Here is a 17,068-nt window from a genome sequence, read left to right as displayed (position 1 = left end):
GTCTCTACAAAAAATACAAAAATTAGCTGGGGATGGTAGCATGCACTTGTAGCCCCAGCGACTCGGGGGGATCACTTGAACCCTGGAAGTTGAGGCTGTAGTGAGCTGAGACTGCACCACTGCACTCTGGCCTGGGTGACAGAGTGAGACCCTGTCTCCAAAAGAAAAAAAAAAAAAAAGAAGAAATGATTACATGTATGTTTATCCCAGTCAGAATCTGATCCATTTAGTATTCTACCTAATACAAGTAACAGTGCTTCTCTGTGCCTTTTGTTTCAGTTATTTTCCTAACTTTTCTACCCTTTGGTGTGTTTCTTGAACAAAGACCAACTTGTGATCTCTTGATGTCTCTTTTTAAAACCCAAGAAGTGAGGATTTGTTTTCAAAGCCAGAAAATCCTGCCTTCCCAAATCCTCCCCACCAGGAGGAAGTCGTTACTGTTCACATCACCTTAAAAAGAACTAGAGTGCAGGCTGTATGTCTTCAAGGGACCAAAACTGTTACTAAAGACAGAACTTTGGGACAATACTAGTGGACCAATCTCACTGATACGGATTTGTAACTGCTTAAAATTTCAAAAGAAAAAAAATGACAGTAATGCTATAGTTTTGAAAATCAGCGAATTTGTGGGCAGGTGGCATGACTTATCAGTAACCTTTAGGGATTTTATACAATTCCCCCTCCCCCGACTCCCTTTCTTCTGCAGCTCTCAGTTCTTCCAGCAGGTGTCCCTATAATCACAGAACAGACATTCCACAGCAAGGTATGTAACTTTATTTTTCTAGCATAATAATTTAAAGTATTTACACACTGCACACTCACTGTTTTACACAGATACGTATTCATATATCTATGAACCACATCTAAAGGTTTCTTTGCAAAGACTCGACACACTGTTGGGGGGGGGGGAGCTTCCAAGCATAACAAAGAGGACAAAAAAAAGTTTTGAGTCTTTTAAAGACAGCCATGTGGAGCATCTGTGAAAACCAGTGTTTCCCCCGTTTTAAGCTCCCCCAGGAGACCTCTGAACAGCTATAGCCTATCCACATGTTGGTATGACCTGAAATTCTTCTAGCTAAGGTTTCAAGAACCAACATGTGCAAGCAGCATTTTTTCTAGAAATCTCAAAAAAGGAGAAAATAAACCTGGCCCTTACGTAGAGAAATACATCTATTTCTGAAAGTAATCTGTGGGGATTGTTTTACAGGGACACCGATTACAAGGGCAGAATAGCAAAATACACTATTACTAGTGATGCAGGGTGCTTTTAAATGTCACTTCCAGCTAAATGATATGGCAAAATAACCCAATCTTCTTTTCCCAACTATCAGTAAGGGTGGTTGTTATTTTCCCTGAAAAGAGCAAAGGTATATTTATTAATGATACACACTCTAAACCCAGATCCTATAGAAATTTCTTCTATTGCTTTTACTTCACTTTCATATTATTTGCACAAAAATAGTGGTTATCCTCCGTATTTTTTCCTCGCTTGTACTACTCAATTATAAAACAAATTATTAACGATAGCTTCTGAATTTGGTACATGGCATCATAGGTGAACAAAAAAAGCCACAGTTCAGAGCTGATGGTCAGTCCGTCTCTAGTCCAGCTTCTATAAAAGGAAGGCGGGTTTAGGTTTCAACTCTCTATAGTTGAATCTCCATGAGTAAGAAGGAGATGCCTTCCTTATTTTCCCAGACTGCCCAAGATTATTCTCTCATCAACACAAGGTAGAGGTTTGCCACCTCTACATGAATTCACAACTCCACTCTGTGACTGGGTGGCACATCAGTTCGCTAAGAAGTTAAACTTTACAAAATGACGTCCTCTTCCTCTTGCCGGTATGGGCCTCTGGCAGTGTCACTGATCAATAGGACATGGCAAAAGTAACTACCTGGAGAACTAAAACTAAGCATAATCTTGGCCTGAACTACTACGGTAAAGATAGTATCTTTTATTTCTGTTTATGTAAACTTATCAACAAATTATTAAAGCAGAAACTCTATCACTTCTTGGAACTAAAGATTTACATCTAGCTATAACAATAGAAACCTACCTATCCTGGAGTTAACTTTCTCAGATTACTGCTCCTGACTTTTGCTGTTCTTTTCCTTTTGCAAGGGGGTGCCAACAATGGATGGAAGAGGCAAGGAGATCTTACTTTATAGGAATTTCTCCAAGTTACAACGAGCAACTGACCAAATCATATTCAACTACAGGTGTTGAGAGAGAGAGTACCTGACTTCAGACCACCTGGGAAGCACAATGCTTAGTTAACAAGAATATCTGGATTAAGCAGTGCCGAAGTGGCCGCACACCGAGTCAGGCCAAGGAAGCTCTTCTGTCATTGCCGCCCAACTCTGTTCCACTTTGCATGCAGACATATCAAAGACTGTGATGAAGATCATGGTGGACAAGGAAGAATGAAAAACTTTGTGATGGGATCTGGGCCTCTACATTAGAGAAAGAACCTAACAAACCCCAGTTCTTTGGATTCGTAAGGTGAGGCTGAGGAGGGCTTACTGGAGTTGGAGACAGGGAGAGCTGTGTTTCTGGGCTCAAAGCCAAGAAACGGTTAAGAAGAGGGGCTTGCATCAGTCATATAGATTAAAAAGAGCAAGGCATGATAATTACTAAATTTATAGTTTCATGTTTTAACACAGAAGAGTCAGAGGGAAAACTGACAATTTAAAACGGGGCATGGGATGAGAAAAAGTCTAGGAGTTACTGAGATGCCTGGTACTTATCTACAAAACTTCCATCACTAGACCCTTTTGACCTACGAGAATAGCAGTTTCTATGGTTCAACCTAATACACTGTATGGGCTCAAATATATAACAATTAGAATTGAGAGTAATCAGAATACCAATAATACCCCCCCTTCTGAAAAAGTAACAGCTCTTAGATGAAGAGAGCTTCTTAAGATCAGCGTTTAAGAGTCAAAGCACCTGTAAGGGAGAGTTAACGACCCTTTCAAATCAAGTGAGGGCAGAAGGGTGAGGGCATAGTTCAAAGGAACGAGGCAGCTCCACCGGAAGGTGGCGAGTAAAAGCTGCACACCGTGGCAAATCAGTAGCAATGGGAAAGGGCAGGAAGGTACAGCCAAGAATAGCTACAAACAACTGGTCACCTTCAAAGGAAACGCTGCATATGGATGTCTGTGTATATGTACTATACATATCAACCAAGCACACACATAAATATTTAATATATAAAAAATAAAGTGCTTTCTAACAGGTCCCTGGGCAGGGACATTATAAAACATTTCACAGAACTGCAAAACAAAATTGATACAATCAAAGAACACTACATCCAACATATGTGAAAACAGCCAAACACAGTATGTACAATCTGGTGGGTGTCCCAGGACAAACATCCTGTCATATACATGGTATATACATATATACTCTTTTACTCAATATATTATGACAATATATATTTTAAAATTTTGTTATAGACAAAAAATAAAAAACCAAAACAAAAGACAACCCCTACAAAAACACGATAAGGATCAAGCAGGTGAGTCCTAGACTGACAGACAAATCACTGCCTCCACGGGGAGTCCCATTGCCACTGCTGGGGAAAATGTGCCAGCGTTCCTTCCTTGGGTGCAGGGCCTCCACATCCTCCAAGGCACTGTGGGCTGCGGCAGTAAAGTTGGCATCACCAGTGGTGAGCAGGTCGAAGACACAGGACTGGAAATAGATGTCCTTCACTGGCATCTTCTCATGGCATTGAGTGTTGGCAGTCTCCAGTGTGTAGCCAGGCCAGGCCTGCACCAAGGAGGTGCGAGGCAGGCTGTGTCCCAGGATGGCAGACACCTGGCCCTGCCCGTCATCGATGCGTTCACTCAGGGGGCAGCCGTTCACGCACAGCTGCAGGTCCTGGCTCTCCTCGTAGGACATGGCCAGGTCTTCAGGCATACGGATGGCAAGGGTCAGGTAGCGACCCACCTGCCGCACAAACACTGTGGTCCCTATATAGCGGGCGTGCATCTCCACATAGTGGCCACTCTCCCTTTCCACGATACGCAGGCTCTTGGCATCGCTGTCCCCACCACTGGTGGTGCCATCCACAAAGGCGGCCGGCAGGTCATCTGTCACAGCTTGGTAGACTTTCTGATCTGTACACTCATGGTGGGCTTTGAAGATAATAGTGATCTGTGGGAAGGAGCATGTACAAGGTTTAACAGAATGGGAAGGAAGCAGAACGGGGTAACCCTCTGTAGCAAGAGCTCCCCGCCATTTTGAAGCTGAATGGCTTAAGGCGGAATCTCCAAAATGGACCCAACTGCTTGCACCTCAAAAATGGATATCACTTTCAGAAAATATTTTTTAAAGTCCTATATATTTAGAACTAAAGTTTAAATAAATCTGTGCATCAAGACAAAACTTTTTTACTTTCCTAAGAGAAAGAGTGAGCAAGTGAGCAGTGTTGCTATCAGAATATCGGTTTTTTTTTTTTTTTTTTTTTAAGTGACAGGGTCAGCTCTCTTGCCCAGGCTAGAGTGCGGTGGCACATTCATAGCTCACTGCAACGTTCAACTCCTGGGCTCAAAGGACTTTCCCACTTCAGCCTCCTGAGTACACAGGACTAAGGGCATATACCACCATGCGTGGCTGATTTAAAAAACTTTGAAGTGAGGGGGTTGGTGGGGGGCGGGGGGGATGGTGGAGGTCGGGGGTTCCTCACTACGTTGCCCAGGCTGGTCTTGAACTCCTGGCCTCAAGCGATCCTCCCACCATCATCTCCCAAAGTGCTGGGATTACAGGCATGAGCCACTGTGCCAGGCCAGATTATGGGCAATTTTTATTGATAATTTATATCTTGTCTGCTTCCAAAGTGGATGAGTCATGGCATAGTTCTGAGAAAAGAAAAAGGCTCGTTTCTGAGTTATTATGCAGAAACTTTAAAGGGCTTAATTAACAATATACCTAACAGAACTTTGCTTCCTACCAAGATTCTTCATAGGATTAAAAAACTGTATCCCATGACTCACCACTACAAACTTACTCGAAATACAGAGAGAAAGAGTTGAGGAGGGGGCACCCCAGTAACAGCCACCACTCATGTACCCCAGGAAAGATTTCTATTAGTCCCTTAATCAAATGTTTCACATCACTGGCTAATCCCTGCGACAGGGAAATCACCTGGCAAATATAGCTCCTAAGCACTGGCAGAGACTGAATACCCTAAACCTAGTTACAGCAAATGTTTTCCCAAACAGCACCAGAGTCCCTTAACTCCTCAGAAATCTTTTCCCAGCCAACTCTCGATTCTCCAAACTAAGCACATAAATTCATCAAAGAAAAAAAATTACTAATAATACAAAAGCTTCTCTTTTGTAAACCCATGTTCTTTCCTGCAGAATCCTTTAATTAGAACAGTTAGTTAAAAACCTTGCACACCTTCACCTCCAACATATCCAACATCTCTGGTACAGGTGGTGGAGGGAAGACAACTATGATAAGACAGGGGCTGCTGTGTCACACAACATGGAGAAACTATTTCAAAGAAACAAAAAAAGACCAGATTTTGAGAATTGTATCATTGCTAGTAACTGAGGCAACAGGGTTCTCTCTTCCTTCTTGAAAAAACAAAAAGTATCAGGTGACTTCAGTCAGGAGGAAGGTAGACAAGCCAAACACTCTATGAATTACTCGGGATGGAGGAAACCTTCTACCTCCTGCAAGGAAACTAATCGAAACAATAGACCCTTGTGAAAAAGACCAGAAAATGCACCCCCCTCCCCCCGCCTGCCCACCCGAAGTCCTCACCACCACCCTCAAGTTTATGTCTTAAGTTTTTCTCCAACTCGGCCAGCATTTGCTCACACTATTTAATTCCACTTGTTCCCACTGGTGTTACTTGACTGGAATTTTCCAGCCATTTCATTTTACTTCAGCCAGTTATAAAGCCAGATCTGAACCAGCTGCACTGTAGCAACCGGTTAAATTCATATCCGCTGTGTGCAGCTGCAACTAAAAGCCAGACAATGTACTATGAAAATGCTGGGTTTTCTCCCTTCCTAATTACCCTGAGCCACAACTTGATTTCACTACCAGCCTTCTCACATTTCAACACCTTCTTAACAACCCAAAGGAGGTGCATCAGAGATGATTTCAGGAAATTTGTTGTGCATCCAACCATAGGACCTTTCAGAGTGAATGGGGGTTTTGAGCTAGATATCTAACGGGACCATAAAATAGATTTATTTGGTGGCTCTAAAATCCGTTGACAAGTGTTTTTTTTTAAGGCATGCTGGGATCCCTTGGAGATGAAAAGATTGATTCAAGAAAATTTTGCACCTGAAAAAGTTGAAAGTCAACAATACAGATGGCTAAAATAAGAGTTAGTAATAGACTTTTTATATAATCACTATGCTCATTTTCACCTGTAACATCTACTCAAAGATTAAACTCTTCAATGACGGCTAAATAATTCGTCTTTCTAGTCTAACAAACCTAAAATTTAAACCAACTTGATATTATCTGCAAGAACTACTTTTTTGTTCACCTTAGGAAAAACAAAGAGGATTTACTTGTGTTGGGCCAACAAAGCAAAGATAACCGATTCCAAACAAGTTTCCAAAAAGCAAGCAAGGGTCCATATTGAGATGAGTGGAATGGTTCCATATGTCTCACCACGGCTGTTTTTTTCATTAAGCACACCAATTCCAACTCAGGAACTCAGGATTCATTTCAAACACCTCCCACAGTATTGTCCTCTGCTATGCCAGTGACATTAACAATAACTCCTACCTATCTAGAAGCTCAAAACTTGTTTTCTGCTCTAGTATCTACACCTACAAAATATCCTAGTTAACCTAAAAGATTTGTCTTTCCAATTTACTAGTAGTGATTTGCTGTGAGACAAGTGGATATTTCTCTTGTTGTTTCCCAACCAAGCAAGGTAATTCTCACACAGAGCATATGTGTAGAATTATCCCTTGAATCAAAATGCTGAGGGGGGTGAATTGATTGTAAAGCATGAGTGGGTTTCCTGAGTAGTCCCTTGTAGTTTAAATATGCACTGAGCAGGTACCTAGAGATATAATCAATGTAAATTTAGAAAACACTGGGTAATAGTTTCACATGACTTAAGTTTTATAATGCACTTTCATTCCTCATAACAATTACAACATGAGCTTTTAAAAGGCAAGTACTCAGCCAATGAAGGGCAAGAAATTCATTTCAGACTGTCTTCCTCTTCAGAAAAGCAAAATTTATTCATTCTTAATTCTTACTTTAGAAACAAGCACAATTTAATTGGAATTTTAAAAAACACCAAACTTTTAATATTTCCAGCTAGCAGCCACTAGAAAGTAAAAACTGAATACATAAAATTGTATTTCAAAAGCTCACAGATAATTTAAAAACGTTAGCTATGCTACTTACTTTTCCCCTCTATGAACTAATATATATGCTGTCATAACTCAATTTGGCACATCTGTTCTATGCCACACCATTTATTATTGATAGATGGCATTTCTGTGCATTTAAAACATCAATGCCTTTTGTTAAACCTCCTCCACCCAGCCCCTCTCAACCCCCACCTTAGACAAACTACTTCAGTTCTCTTCATTCATTTTTAATGTTTCACTCTCCTAGATCTTCACCACCCACAAGGTTTATTAGGAAGAGAAAGACAGCAGCTACAAATCAACCTTTCTACATGAAATAGGCAATAAGAACTTACGAAGGTTTGCTGTGAAATAATTTTAAGAGGCACCTGCCTCTCCTTTCCACCGGGAGAAAAAAAAAAAACATATTAAATGAAAATTAGGTAGCCAACAAAGAGGGAAATACACAGGTACTGCCTCGCCAAGAGGTACAGAGATATCTATCCAAAGCACAGCAGCCTTGCAAAATGCCACAAACAGGTTTTAAAACAGCAGACTTCTCAAATGGCTGTGCACCTTGACTACTTGTGCGTAATATATTTTGGAAGAAACATTTATCTGTGTTTAATCAGGCCATTTGGCACTGTGAGTGTAGGACTTTTCTGGAATCCTCAAAACATGAGAGCCAGACTTTAGGAGCTCTCATCTCTGGACTCTAGACTGGTCAGTAAACTAAACTGAAGAGGCACAGAAACTAGCTTGAAACACATGAAAACATAATTTTGATATGCACCTGGTTAAAATTCTGCAGTGTCAAAGAAGTCGATGAATTTTATTTCATATAATTAGCTGATGTGTCTACTTTGCCATATCATCTGGGTGCAATGATAGGTTGAAAAATAGAAGACTCTAAGGGAGAATAAGCCCACGGTGCTCACAGCCCCTTTTACTCTTAACACATGGTTAACAGCATGCAGCCTCTACAGTCTTCCCCAGTGAACAAAAAAGAAACCATTCCAACAAGAGCACATGTTTCAAAGGAGAAAAACATATACATGCTCTCTCTCCATTCCTAAAAAACCCAAATTTTACTTCCAAGGGTCAATTTTTCTAAATGTTACGAAGTCAGAGACTAGGATGCTCTGAAGCACCTAAAGGAAGTAGAGGCCTTTGAAAGCACCTTCCTTCAAGTGTCTTCCCTGGTCCCACTCCTCCCTACCCGCCAGGGTAATTCTGAAGTGTGGATTTTGGCCAGAGCAGAGGTACTCTGTCCACGCGGGGTGGCAACTGTCCCCTGGTTACATAAAAACTGGGGAGAACTCTGTCTCTCTCTCGAGGGGGGAAAAGAGGTATATTGATTTAGAATAACTCTTTCTGAACAATTTCATGCAAAACCCAGGAGAGTTTTTATATATGCCATATTTAAGAAAAAATAATGGACTAGAAAATACTTGATGTCATTGATAATTTTCCTTTAAAAATTATGAAAAAAACTGTTAGGAAGCTATGAACTCAATGAACTGGGATGTAATTTTACAATCACCACTCAGCCTACATATCAAATATCTTATAAAACAAATATCTACAGGAAGCTCAACTTAAGATCCACAAAAATACATTTTGTTAAACAATTTTATTGGACTAGGACAAGATACTAACAGTAAGACAGTACCTGTGTTTACGAGGTGAGTGGCAGATTAAAACTCATACTGTGGACTCCTTTTAGGGCTTGAATGAGACTAAAAAATCAGCTACCTTAAAAAGAGGTATCAGTTTCTCTATCCTCATGTCTTTTTCCACAGAGCTTGGAGCACTTACAGGATCCAGAGAAATGGAATGGACCAAACTTATTCTTCAGTGTTGCCGTAGGTAATAAATACATGCAAAAACAGGGGCTGCCTTGGCTGCTGAAGGGGTACTTGGCAGCAGATAGAGAATGAAGAAACCAAACCAGAGGGGAAGGACACGCAGAGCTGAAGGCAGCTAGGGTGGTCTAGAGAAGCAGCATCAAGCTCAGTGGCTAAAACGAGAATGAAAGGGAAGCTGGCCCAGGAAGACACATAAAAGGAACAGGCACAAAAATGCTGCTTCCCAAGAGTAATTTCTGTACAATTAAGACAGTGAATGCTGGAAGCATAAATAGCCACAGAGACAGGCAAATTCGCCAACTTCCTTGTATTAGGGTGAGCATGAGGAAAGGCCTTTGTCCTGTAAGTCTTGGTCACTCCAAAATCTCCAAATGGAACCTCTCCCTTAGCTTGTCTGTTGTGTTCGGACTCCACATTGTGAGGAGGCCAGCAAGTGTAGGAACTCACTATATGCCCAGATATGAAGGCAGGCCTGTGTGGACAGTATTATAGGCCTAGGCTGCCACCTTGCTTCAGACTAGAGGCTAAAAATATTCTGAAAGGTGAGAGCCAGGGCTGGTGGCAGTAACTCTCAGCCGAATCTGTCCTAGCAGGTCTTCCCTTCAGGCATTCCCTCTCCTGGTAGAGAGAGGTGGCAGGACTACAGACCCGAGGCCCTGCTCTGGGCCTAGGTTCAGCACAGCTGTTCTCCAAACCGATGGGATTAGAAAACCACAGGCTCTTTGATCATTTTTCAGCTTTGGGAGGTGAGCAAAAAAAGTAAAAGGGCTTGAAGATCTTCACAATACACTCACACTCTGAAAAAGAAAAGACCCATGAGAACTCAGGAATGAAGTGGTTAGAATGGTTACCATGCATTTCAAGAAGTGAGTTAACCGAAATCCTACAAAACAATATCTTTATGTCTGCATTTTCCTTGGTAGGGTGAGGGGAAGACCTCGATACCATGTAAAAGCACATGCATGTACATCTGTGCATGCACACACATGTCTTAAATGGAAACTGACCCCCATTTCAGGAGCACATGCAGAGCAGATGAGAAGTGAGTTTTAGATGGTGTCATATCATCCTATTCACAGTATACATGCTGTGTCCCAACATGAAAGAACCCCCATGTTCTTTTGGCTCCAACTCTTAAAGTAAACAGTTAACTGGGGCATAAAAAACTCCTCTCTCCATAGAACCAGTTTCACCTAAACTTCTTTCTAGACCCAATAGCACTGTGATTTCACTGCAAGGCTGTCCAGTTAAAGTCTGTAACTTAGATGTATGTTAGCTTTTCTTTTATTACTTACTGACAAGTTGGCCAGCTTCCTTGTCAGTATGAAAAGTCCTTAAGTTACCCCACCCACAAGAACACAAAATTCGAAACAGTGGAAGAGCAAGTTCTACTGCAGTCAAAACAAATAAAAACAAAATGGATAAGGTAGCAGTTTTCATTGTTCAACAATGTAGGTAACTTTTTATATGCCACATTCCACACGAGCAGAAACTGGTTAGCATTAATAGAAGCCAACAAAAAAAGGACCAAACATCCAATGCTTCCTTCTCACCCCTTCCCCTCAAAATGTTGACTCAAAGAAAATTTAACCAGGCAGACATTTGGAAATGTGACAGAAAAACAAGTTCTAACTCTCAGCTGTGTATCAGACTTGGCCTCATGCCTCTGGTTTAAACTATGGAAGAGTGTGGATTTGTTTTAAAGCAGCAGAGCCCCATAGCACCCTCACGGAATCTTGCCTGGCTCACACAGGGACAGGCGCTGGGTTAATTTCACTTACAAATGGGGGGCATTCTGAAGGTCTCTTCCTCCTTCCAAACCACATCTGGGACAGAAGGAGTGGCACAGTCAGGGAGATTAGAAAGATGGTAAAAGACTCATTACCCAGAATTTTTAATGTGTATGAATGAAACAAAGGCAAATCTTCTTTGAAAAGTATAGCATAAAGAATAAACAGGTAGCTCATTTATCTTACAAAATGATTTTTCAGACATAGGTTCATTACACAGCTAGCAATTTCCCCATTTTTCTCTGCTTCCTTTCCCCACATCCACTTGGAAACCTTTTCACCTCCAGGCAATTTACTGAAATGATATAAAGCAAAGTTGAGTACTTCCTGGGCCTAAGATCTTATAATCCAGTATGCACAACAGCTGCATGATAAATAGAAAAGGACAAATAATTAGACTGCCACCTGGAACTACAGCTGATTTCTGCTCTTTTGAAAACCTGGCTTTTAATGTTTCAATATTGTTTCTATAATAAAAAAATTCAGGGAGGTAAAAATAGCTAACATATGCTTTTATGAGAATTTTAAAGATGAGATGAGGCTCTGGAAAATGAATTTAATTAAGAACTGGCGACTATGACAGTCAAATTCTAGAAAGCTTTTTGGTATAACATCAAAGATCAGCAGTCTTTCAAAAGTGGGAGCCAGGGTTCTAGGCCCTGCTAGGTTGTATGCAGATGAGGAAATACAGATGCAGGTGAGCATTCTTACTGTGGGAGGTGGAAAGAGACTGTGCCAAATCCCGGGAGTAAAGACAATGATTTGGCAAGGAGGGGTGTTAGCGTGGGACAGGCCTTTGTAGCAGCCCACTCTTCTGGCTCTTCTTGACACCCCTGCCAACTTGCTAAATGAATAACATCAATTGGAACCAGCTTGTCAATGTGAAAAGAACCCTGAAAATGCTGGGTTTACACACAAACCCCGTGCTTTCCCACCAACTGCTGCAAATTTTAGTTATGTGCTTAGATTGAGGCAAAGGCTGCATTCACCTCTACATCTCCCACAGTGGGCCCTTTAGTACCTTCTGTTTCAAATGCAGCACCAAATTAACCATACATTTATCAGAGAATGATTATCAGGGAAATAATTACATTAAGCAGGGAGGTGTAACTGCAAAATCCTTTCCATCTGTTCCCAATATGCCTCAACCAGTCAGAACTTCTTAGCATCTTCATAAAGCAAGGAGGGTCACAATAAGGAGCAAATCTCAAAGAGATGCCAAGAATTACCCATGCAACAATGTAATTGTAACAAAAATAAAGAGCGATCTCAGATTATAAGAATTAGTTACAATGTATCACCAAGAGAGTTGCAGTTTCCTTGTGGAGGGAAAATGGTCTATTTTTCCCCCACAAATACCATGCGTCCCCCTCTTTATAACACTGCATGCAAGAACAGTGTCCATAGATTCAAAACACAGACCTATCAATGGAAGAACCATATCCCTTAGTCCAGAAAAATAATGATAAACACTATGTAGCTCACATGGTTTCCATAAAGATGCTAAAAACATAATGGGTTGCAAAAACTTAGCTACAATAAATGTACTAGGTCTGGGGTCAACAGAGAACAGATTTCCAAACCTTATGCAGAGATATACTTAAAATGACAACTGAAAGCTGTTGCAATGCAGGCATGTCTGGTTCTGATTTTGTAACCAACAAAGAATGACCCAGAACACTGGTTTACATGCCCACATGCTGTTGTAGAACAATAACTCCCTGCTAAGGGGCACCAGAAAGCAGACCTACCTCATGCTCTAGGAGCCTACAAGGTAATGGTGTTTCTTACAATGGAAAACTGTAGGTTACAGAGTTTGAAGAAGACATTAACCAAAAGCAAACCAAACTAAGTCTTTCTACATCTCTAGTATCTTCAACCAGCGGAAATTTTCAAGAATTCCCAAGAAAGTAGCTACAGAATTTGAAATTCAGGGGTAAGTATGGAATTTAGACTATCCATAATGCATGATGGGTATGCTACTATGCTTTGGACAGGCGATGAGTGCTGCCCATAGGATTGCCAGGAGCTGGTGGCCGTTGGCAGCACCAAAAACGTACAAGATAGGCACCTCAGAGCATCTGTCCATCTGCCTAACAGTCATCTTGCTTGGTCAAGTACGATGAGCACAGCCCTTTCCCAAATTCAAACGCCTTAAGGTAAACTACCTTCTCTCACTCAAGGGTGAGGCACAGTAAAATGTGTAGCAGAAGATCTGCAGTAGGACCTGTTGTCATCCCCAGTCTCCACTCCTACTTTTTATTTTGTGTTACTGAGGTGGAAGGATAGAATAAGAAAGCAAGAGTGGTGAAAAAGGATACAACCACATTAAAACAAAAGGAAAAATAAAATGAAGGCATTCAAACTACTTGTACAAAAATAATTACTAAAAACATTTCCATTGTTTGTTTAGGTATGCAACTTAATAATAAATGAATTTCAGAATTGTTTTTGAAAAAGGAATACTTTTGAATTCCCTGGAGACTGGCAATTTTAATATATGCTATTGGGAATACATTTGCAAAGTGCAGAATCTTTCATAAAAAAATTTATTCCCCAATCACCTTCTGTGATCATGGCATATACAGATTCTTATTGAACCCACTTAAACAGAGATATAAAGATCCACAGAATGAATGAACAAGAGTTGAGACTGAGAGGTTGGCAAAAATAACATGGAAGAAGTCAAGCATCCTCAAAACAGATCATCTGGTTTATCTTGAGTGTGTGAGGCACAGGACAACTACTGACATGTGCCCTCTCTGGAGCCTGTGAAGGGTGGGCTACTTCCTCCTGCAAAACAAAACCTGCCTTTCTTCTCAGTGTAGCTAACTCTGCCAGTTCAGAGCCTGTCCCTCTCATCTCATTCTGAGTGCCTACATGCCTGTAGCCGCCTCTCACAGCCAAAGGTGGGGAAGATGGCCCAGAGCTGATGTGGATGTCAGCCGAGGTATGTGTGTGTGCCAGACACCCCTGCAGCCCCCGGGGTGGAGAGATGAAAAACCAGCCCTGGCTTCCCCTTCAGAAACACATCTACCTGGCAAGGTAGCCAACTGGCACAGGTTCCTCCAAAGAGAGGGAGGCAGGCACAGGGCAAAACTAAAAACACAGAGGCCTTGAGAAAGCATACCTGTGCACACCATGACCAACAGGAAAACAAACCCTACCTTTCCCAAGGAAGGGGAGGAGAGGGCCATGGTGGGGAAGAAAACAGTAGACCAGGGGAGATGAGGCAACATCATTAAGCACCGCAGGCATGTCTGCCTTGAACTCACTGCTTGCCATGTAGAGAAAAAGAAAAGGCTTAGCTAATATATGGCCCCGGGTGACTTCATTTCATTCTATGGTGTTTAGATTTTTCCCCCACTTTGTCTTTTTGTGATAAGGAAAAGGGGGGTACCTAGGAACAGGCAGAGCTCACAAAGTTGGGCTTGAAGACGGCTTGCTCAAGAGGCCAGGTTCCCAGGACTGAGAAGCTGTCTTAGTAGCCTCATTGAGCAAAATACCCTGGGGTCTAGTGCTTCAGTGCAGTGTTAAAGGGAGCGAAATGAATGGATGTTTCCGAAAATTTCAGTATCACAGCTGGCCAGCTAGCCAATGACATCAGTCTTTCAATCTAGTGGCACTGAGCACGTGGGTTATTAAAAACACTTGACCACACAAGGATGATCTGGTATCTACAAGGCACAGTACTAGGTTACCCAACAACTGGTCTATGCACTTGCTTAAATTCTCAGTAAAGCTGGGATTTCCATGAAAAAATTTTTCAAAAGATTTTTTAAAGAAAGTATGGTGGTAGACATTAAGGGAAAATTTCAGATCTTGTTTAGAACTTATTTTATAAGCACTTTTATGCCTCTTATTGTTTTTATTTTTATCACCACCACTTTTTTGTGCTGAAGGTTTTTAAAGGTTTTATTTTGGTCCTGGCTGGGTAAAAGGAACGTATTGTAAGATTTAGGCCTTTCTTTGGTTTCACCAGCACACGTCATACTAGTATTGAGACAGGTCTTCAAGAGCAACCTTCCAGATGCTTATGGGGCTTTGGAGAGAGTTACAAAGAGAAGGGGGATGGGGAACCAAACCCAACAACTCCTAGAGGTTGTGAAGTGAGGCTACAGAATAGTTTGCTGCTGAACAGCATGGTCACCAGATGTGGGAAAATACCTTCCAATAGTGCAATTAAAGACCAAGCATTCTCATCATCTACTTGAATTTATGTCAGAGGACCACTTTCTCCAACTTTTTTTGAATGGGTAAAACCTTTGATCCTTATTCCAAACTGAGGGAGAAAACAAGATTGTCCTTTTTATTTATTTGCTAAAAATTACAACAGAATTCAACTGAAATAAAATGATCTTAAATACTTCAGTGTAAACTGTTCCATATATATAGCAATATTCATAAGGTTATCCCCCACATATTTTCACCATAATCAGTAACAATAGAATTCTGAAAGACTGAATAACAGAAGTGACATGACCGGATGGAAGGCATGAAGAATAAAATTTGAATACTGCTTCTTGTGAAGAGAATGAGTATTTCCCCATTTACAAGCTCTGATTAATCTCTATAGTTTTGTTCGAAGGTCACTCTGCCAAGTCCTCAATTATTTGCACAATTGATGACTTTTTCCATTCTCAATGGACTGCCTTCTTTCAGTTACCCAAAGACTATTCCCAGCTTTCATGTGCCATATGACTCTGCAGTAATGATGGATTTGGGGCCATCGTTTCTCTTATAACTTCATAATTCTATAACTTTATATATAATTTATAGCAAATACATATTCTGAGATATTTATAAAAAAATGATTTGAGTACATACAAAAACCAGAGGGAGAAAAGTTTATTTTGAGATATGGAATTTGGTAAGGCAAAAGACAAGCTTGAGCTTTTACTGAGAGTTGAAGTATAAACATTTTGGAGTTCCCCTAAGATGTCTAGACCAGTGTAACAGTCGTCTTTGATTAGGGCAATGACTTCTAGTCTTAAATTTGTGACACCCCAGGGTGTCTGCAGATATCTCCCGAGGTGTTGTAAAATTCCCTCCACAAAATGCCAAGTAAAATAAGCTTTAATTTATTTAAAAAGTATACCACACATGTTTAGACACAGGGGAGGGTGTCCTGGAATCAAGAGAACAGTCGTAAGTATTTCAAAAGCTTGAGTCTTGTCAATTACATTAAAAAACTAAACCAATTTTTTTGGATACAATAAATGCAAGAAATAAAGTAAGATGAGATGGTCTATGTGTGTGGTTTTGTGGTTGGAAAAGACACGGAAGGAGGTGGTTAGTCGGGACACTATTTTAGTGGAAAAGTGACTTTACTTACTAATGGCTGAATTAGCACTGACTGCCAATTAGAAACCTAGTTCATAGGTCCTCTCTACCTGCTTGCACTAAACACTGGTGCCTTGAAGTTGGTGTCAAAGATCTCTGTACAGTATTAGTTTCTTTAAAACAAACGAACACAGACCACATAAACTGGCAGCTAGTCATGGTAAGCTAAATTTTGTCAGTGTTTCTCTTAGCTTCTGACTGAAACTGTTAACCTGAGGCCCTGAGATTACACACAGGTTACATATTGCTGCTCTGCAATATCCAATTATTAACCTCCTCGGTCATCAAGAGGTTAGTAACTAAACCACCACTGTGGGTTTACCACTGGGAAGTTGGCTTATTGCCATTATGTTTTACTATAGCTTCCAAATCTCCAATAAAATATGTTTCCTGATACGTCACTGCCTCAGGCCTCACAGCTTTCTTTATTCAGAACACCCACTTCAATCATCTGATAAATCTGAACATGGATTTCTTCAAGAGTCACACACATATGCACTCAAAAAAAGACATCACTGAAAAAAGCATCCTTTTTTTACTAAACAGGTCTGCCTTTTCCCTGGAGAACTCAATTTCACTGTTTACTTTTTATTCTTTATATCACTGTCTATTTAAAATTAGAACCACGTTTACATTCCAATAAGAAATTCCTTACTAGATAATTTTTATTTAACCCTTTATCAACTGTTAATTGCTTTTCAAAAGAAGTTCCTTTTAAACTAGG

General features: G+C 40.7%; 1 protein-coding gene across 9 annotated transcripts in view, besides 1 other annotated feature; it reads right to left on the bottom strand.

The window, feature by feature from the left end:
* Positions 1 to 751: 751 nt before the first annotated feature.
* The window catches only part of RGMB (repulsive guidance molecule BMP co-receptor b), a 27,863-nt gene continuing 11,546 nt past the window's right edge, over positions 752 to 17,068 (bottom strand). For all 9 annotated transcript variants that reach the window (NM_001366510.1, NM_001366509.1, XM_047417124.1 and 6 more), the window contains one exon: positions 752 to 4,161. In NM_001366510.1, the coding sequence (NP_001353439.1) occupies positions 3,493 to 4,161 (669 nt within the window). In that variant the 3' untranslated portion in view covers positions 752 to 3,492. The remainder of the gene's footprint in view (positions 4,162 to 17,068) is intronic.
* Positions 16,933 to 17,068: part of an enhancer, noted in NCBI's record as "MED14-independent group 3 enhancer chr5:98114818-98116017 (GRCh37/hg19 assembly coordinates)", that runs on past the window's edge. NCBI's record gives its function as "activates an origin of replication core promoter dependent on BRD2, BRD4, P300/CBP and CDK7 cofactors, and independent of MED14, by STARR-seq in HCT116 cells {active_cell/tissue: HCT116}" and the evidence as "EXISTENCE:reporter gene assay evidence [ECO:0000049][PMID:35650434]".

This window comes from Homo sapiens, chromosome 5 (genome assembly GCF_000001405.40).
Source record: "Homo sapiens chromosome 5, GRCh38.p14 Primary Assembly".
In the NCBI taxonomy this organism is placed as follows: domain Eukaryota; kingdom Metazoa; phylum Chordata; class Mammalia; order Primates; family Hominidae; genus Homo; species Homo sapiens.
Note: the sequence above shows the minus strand (reverse complement) of the source record. Positions and strands in the feature narration are given on the sequence as shown.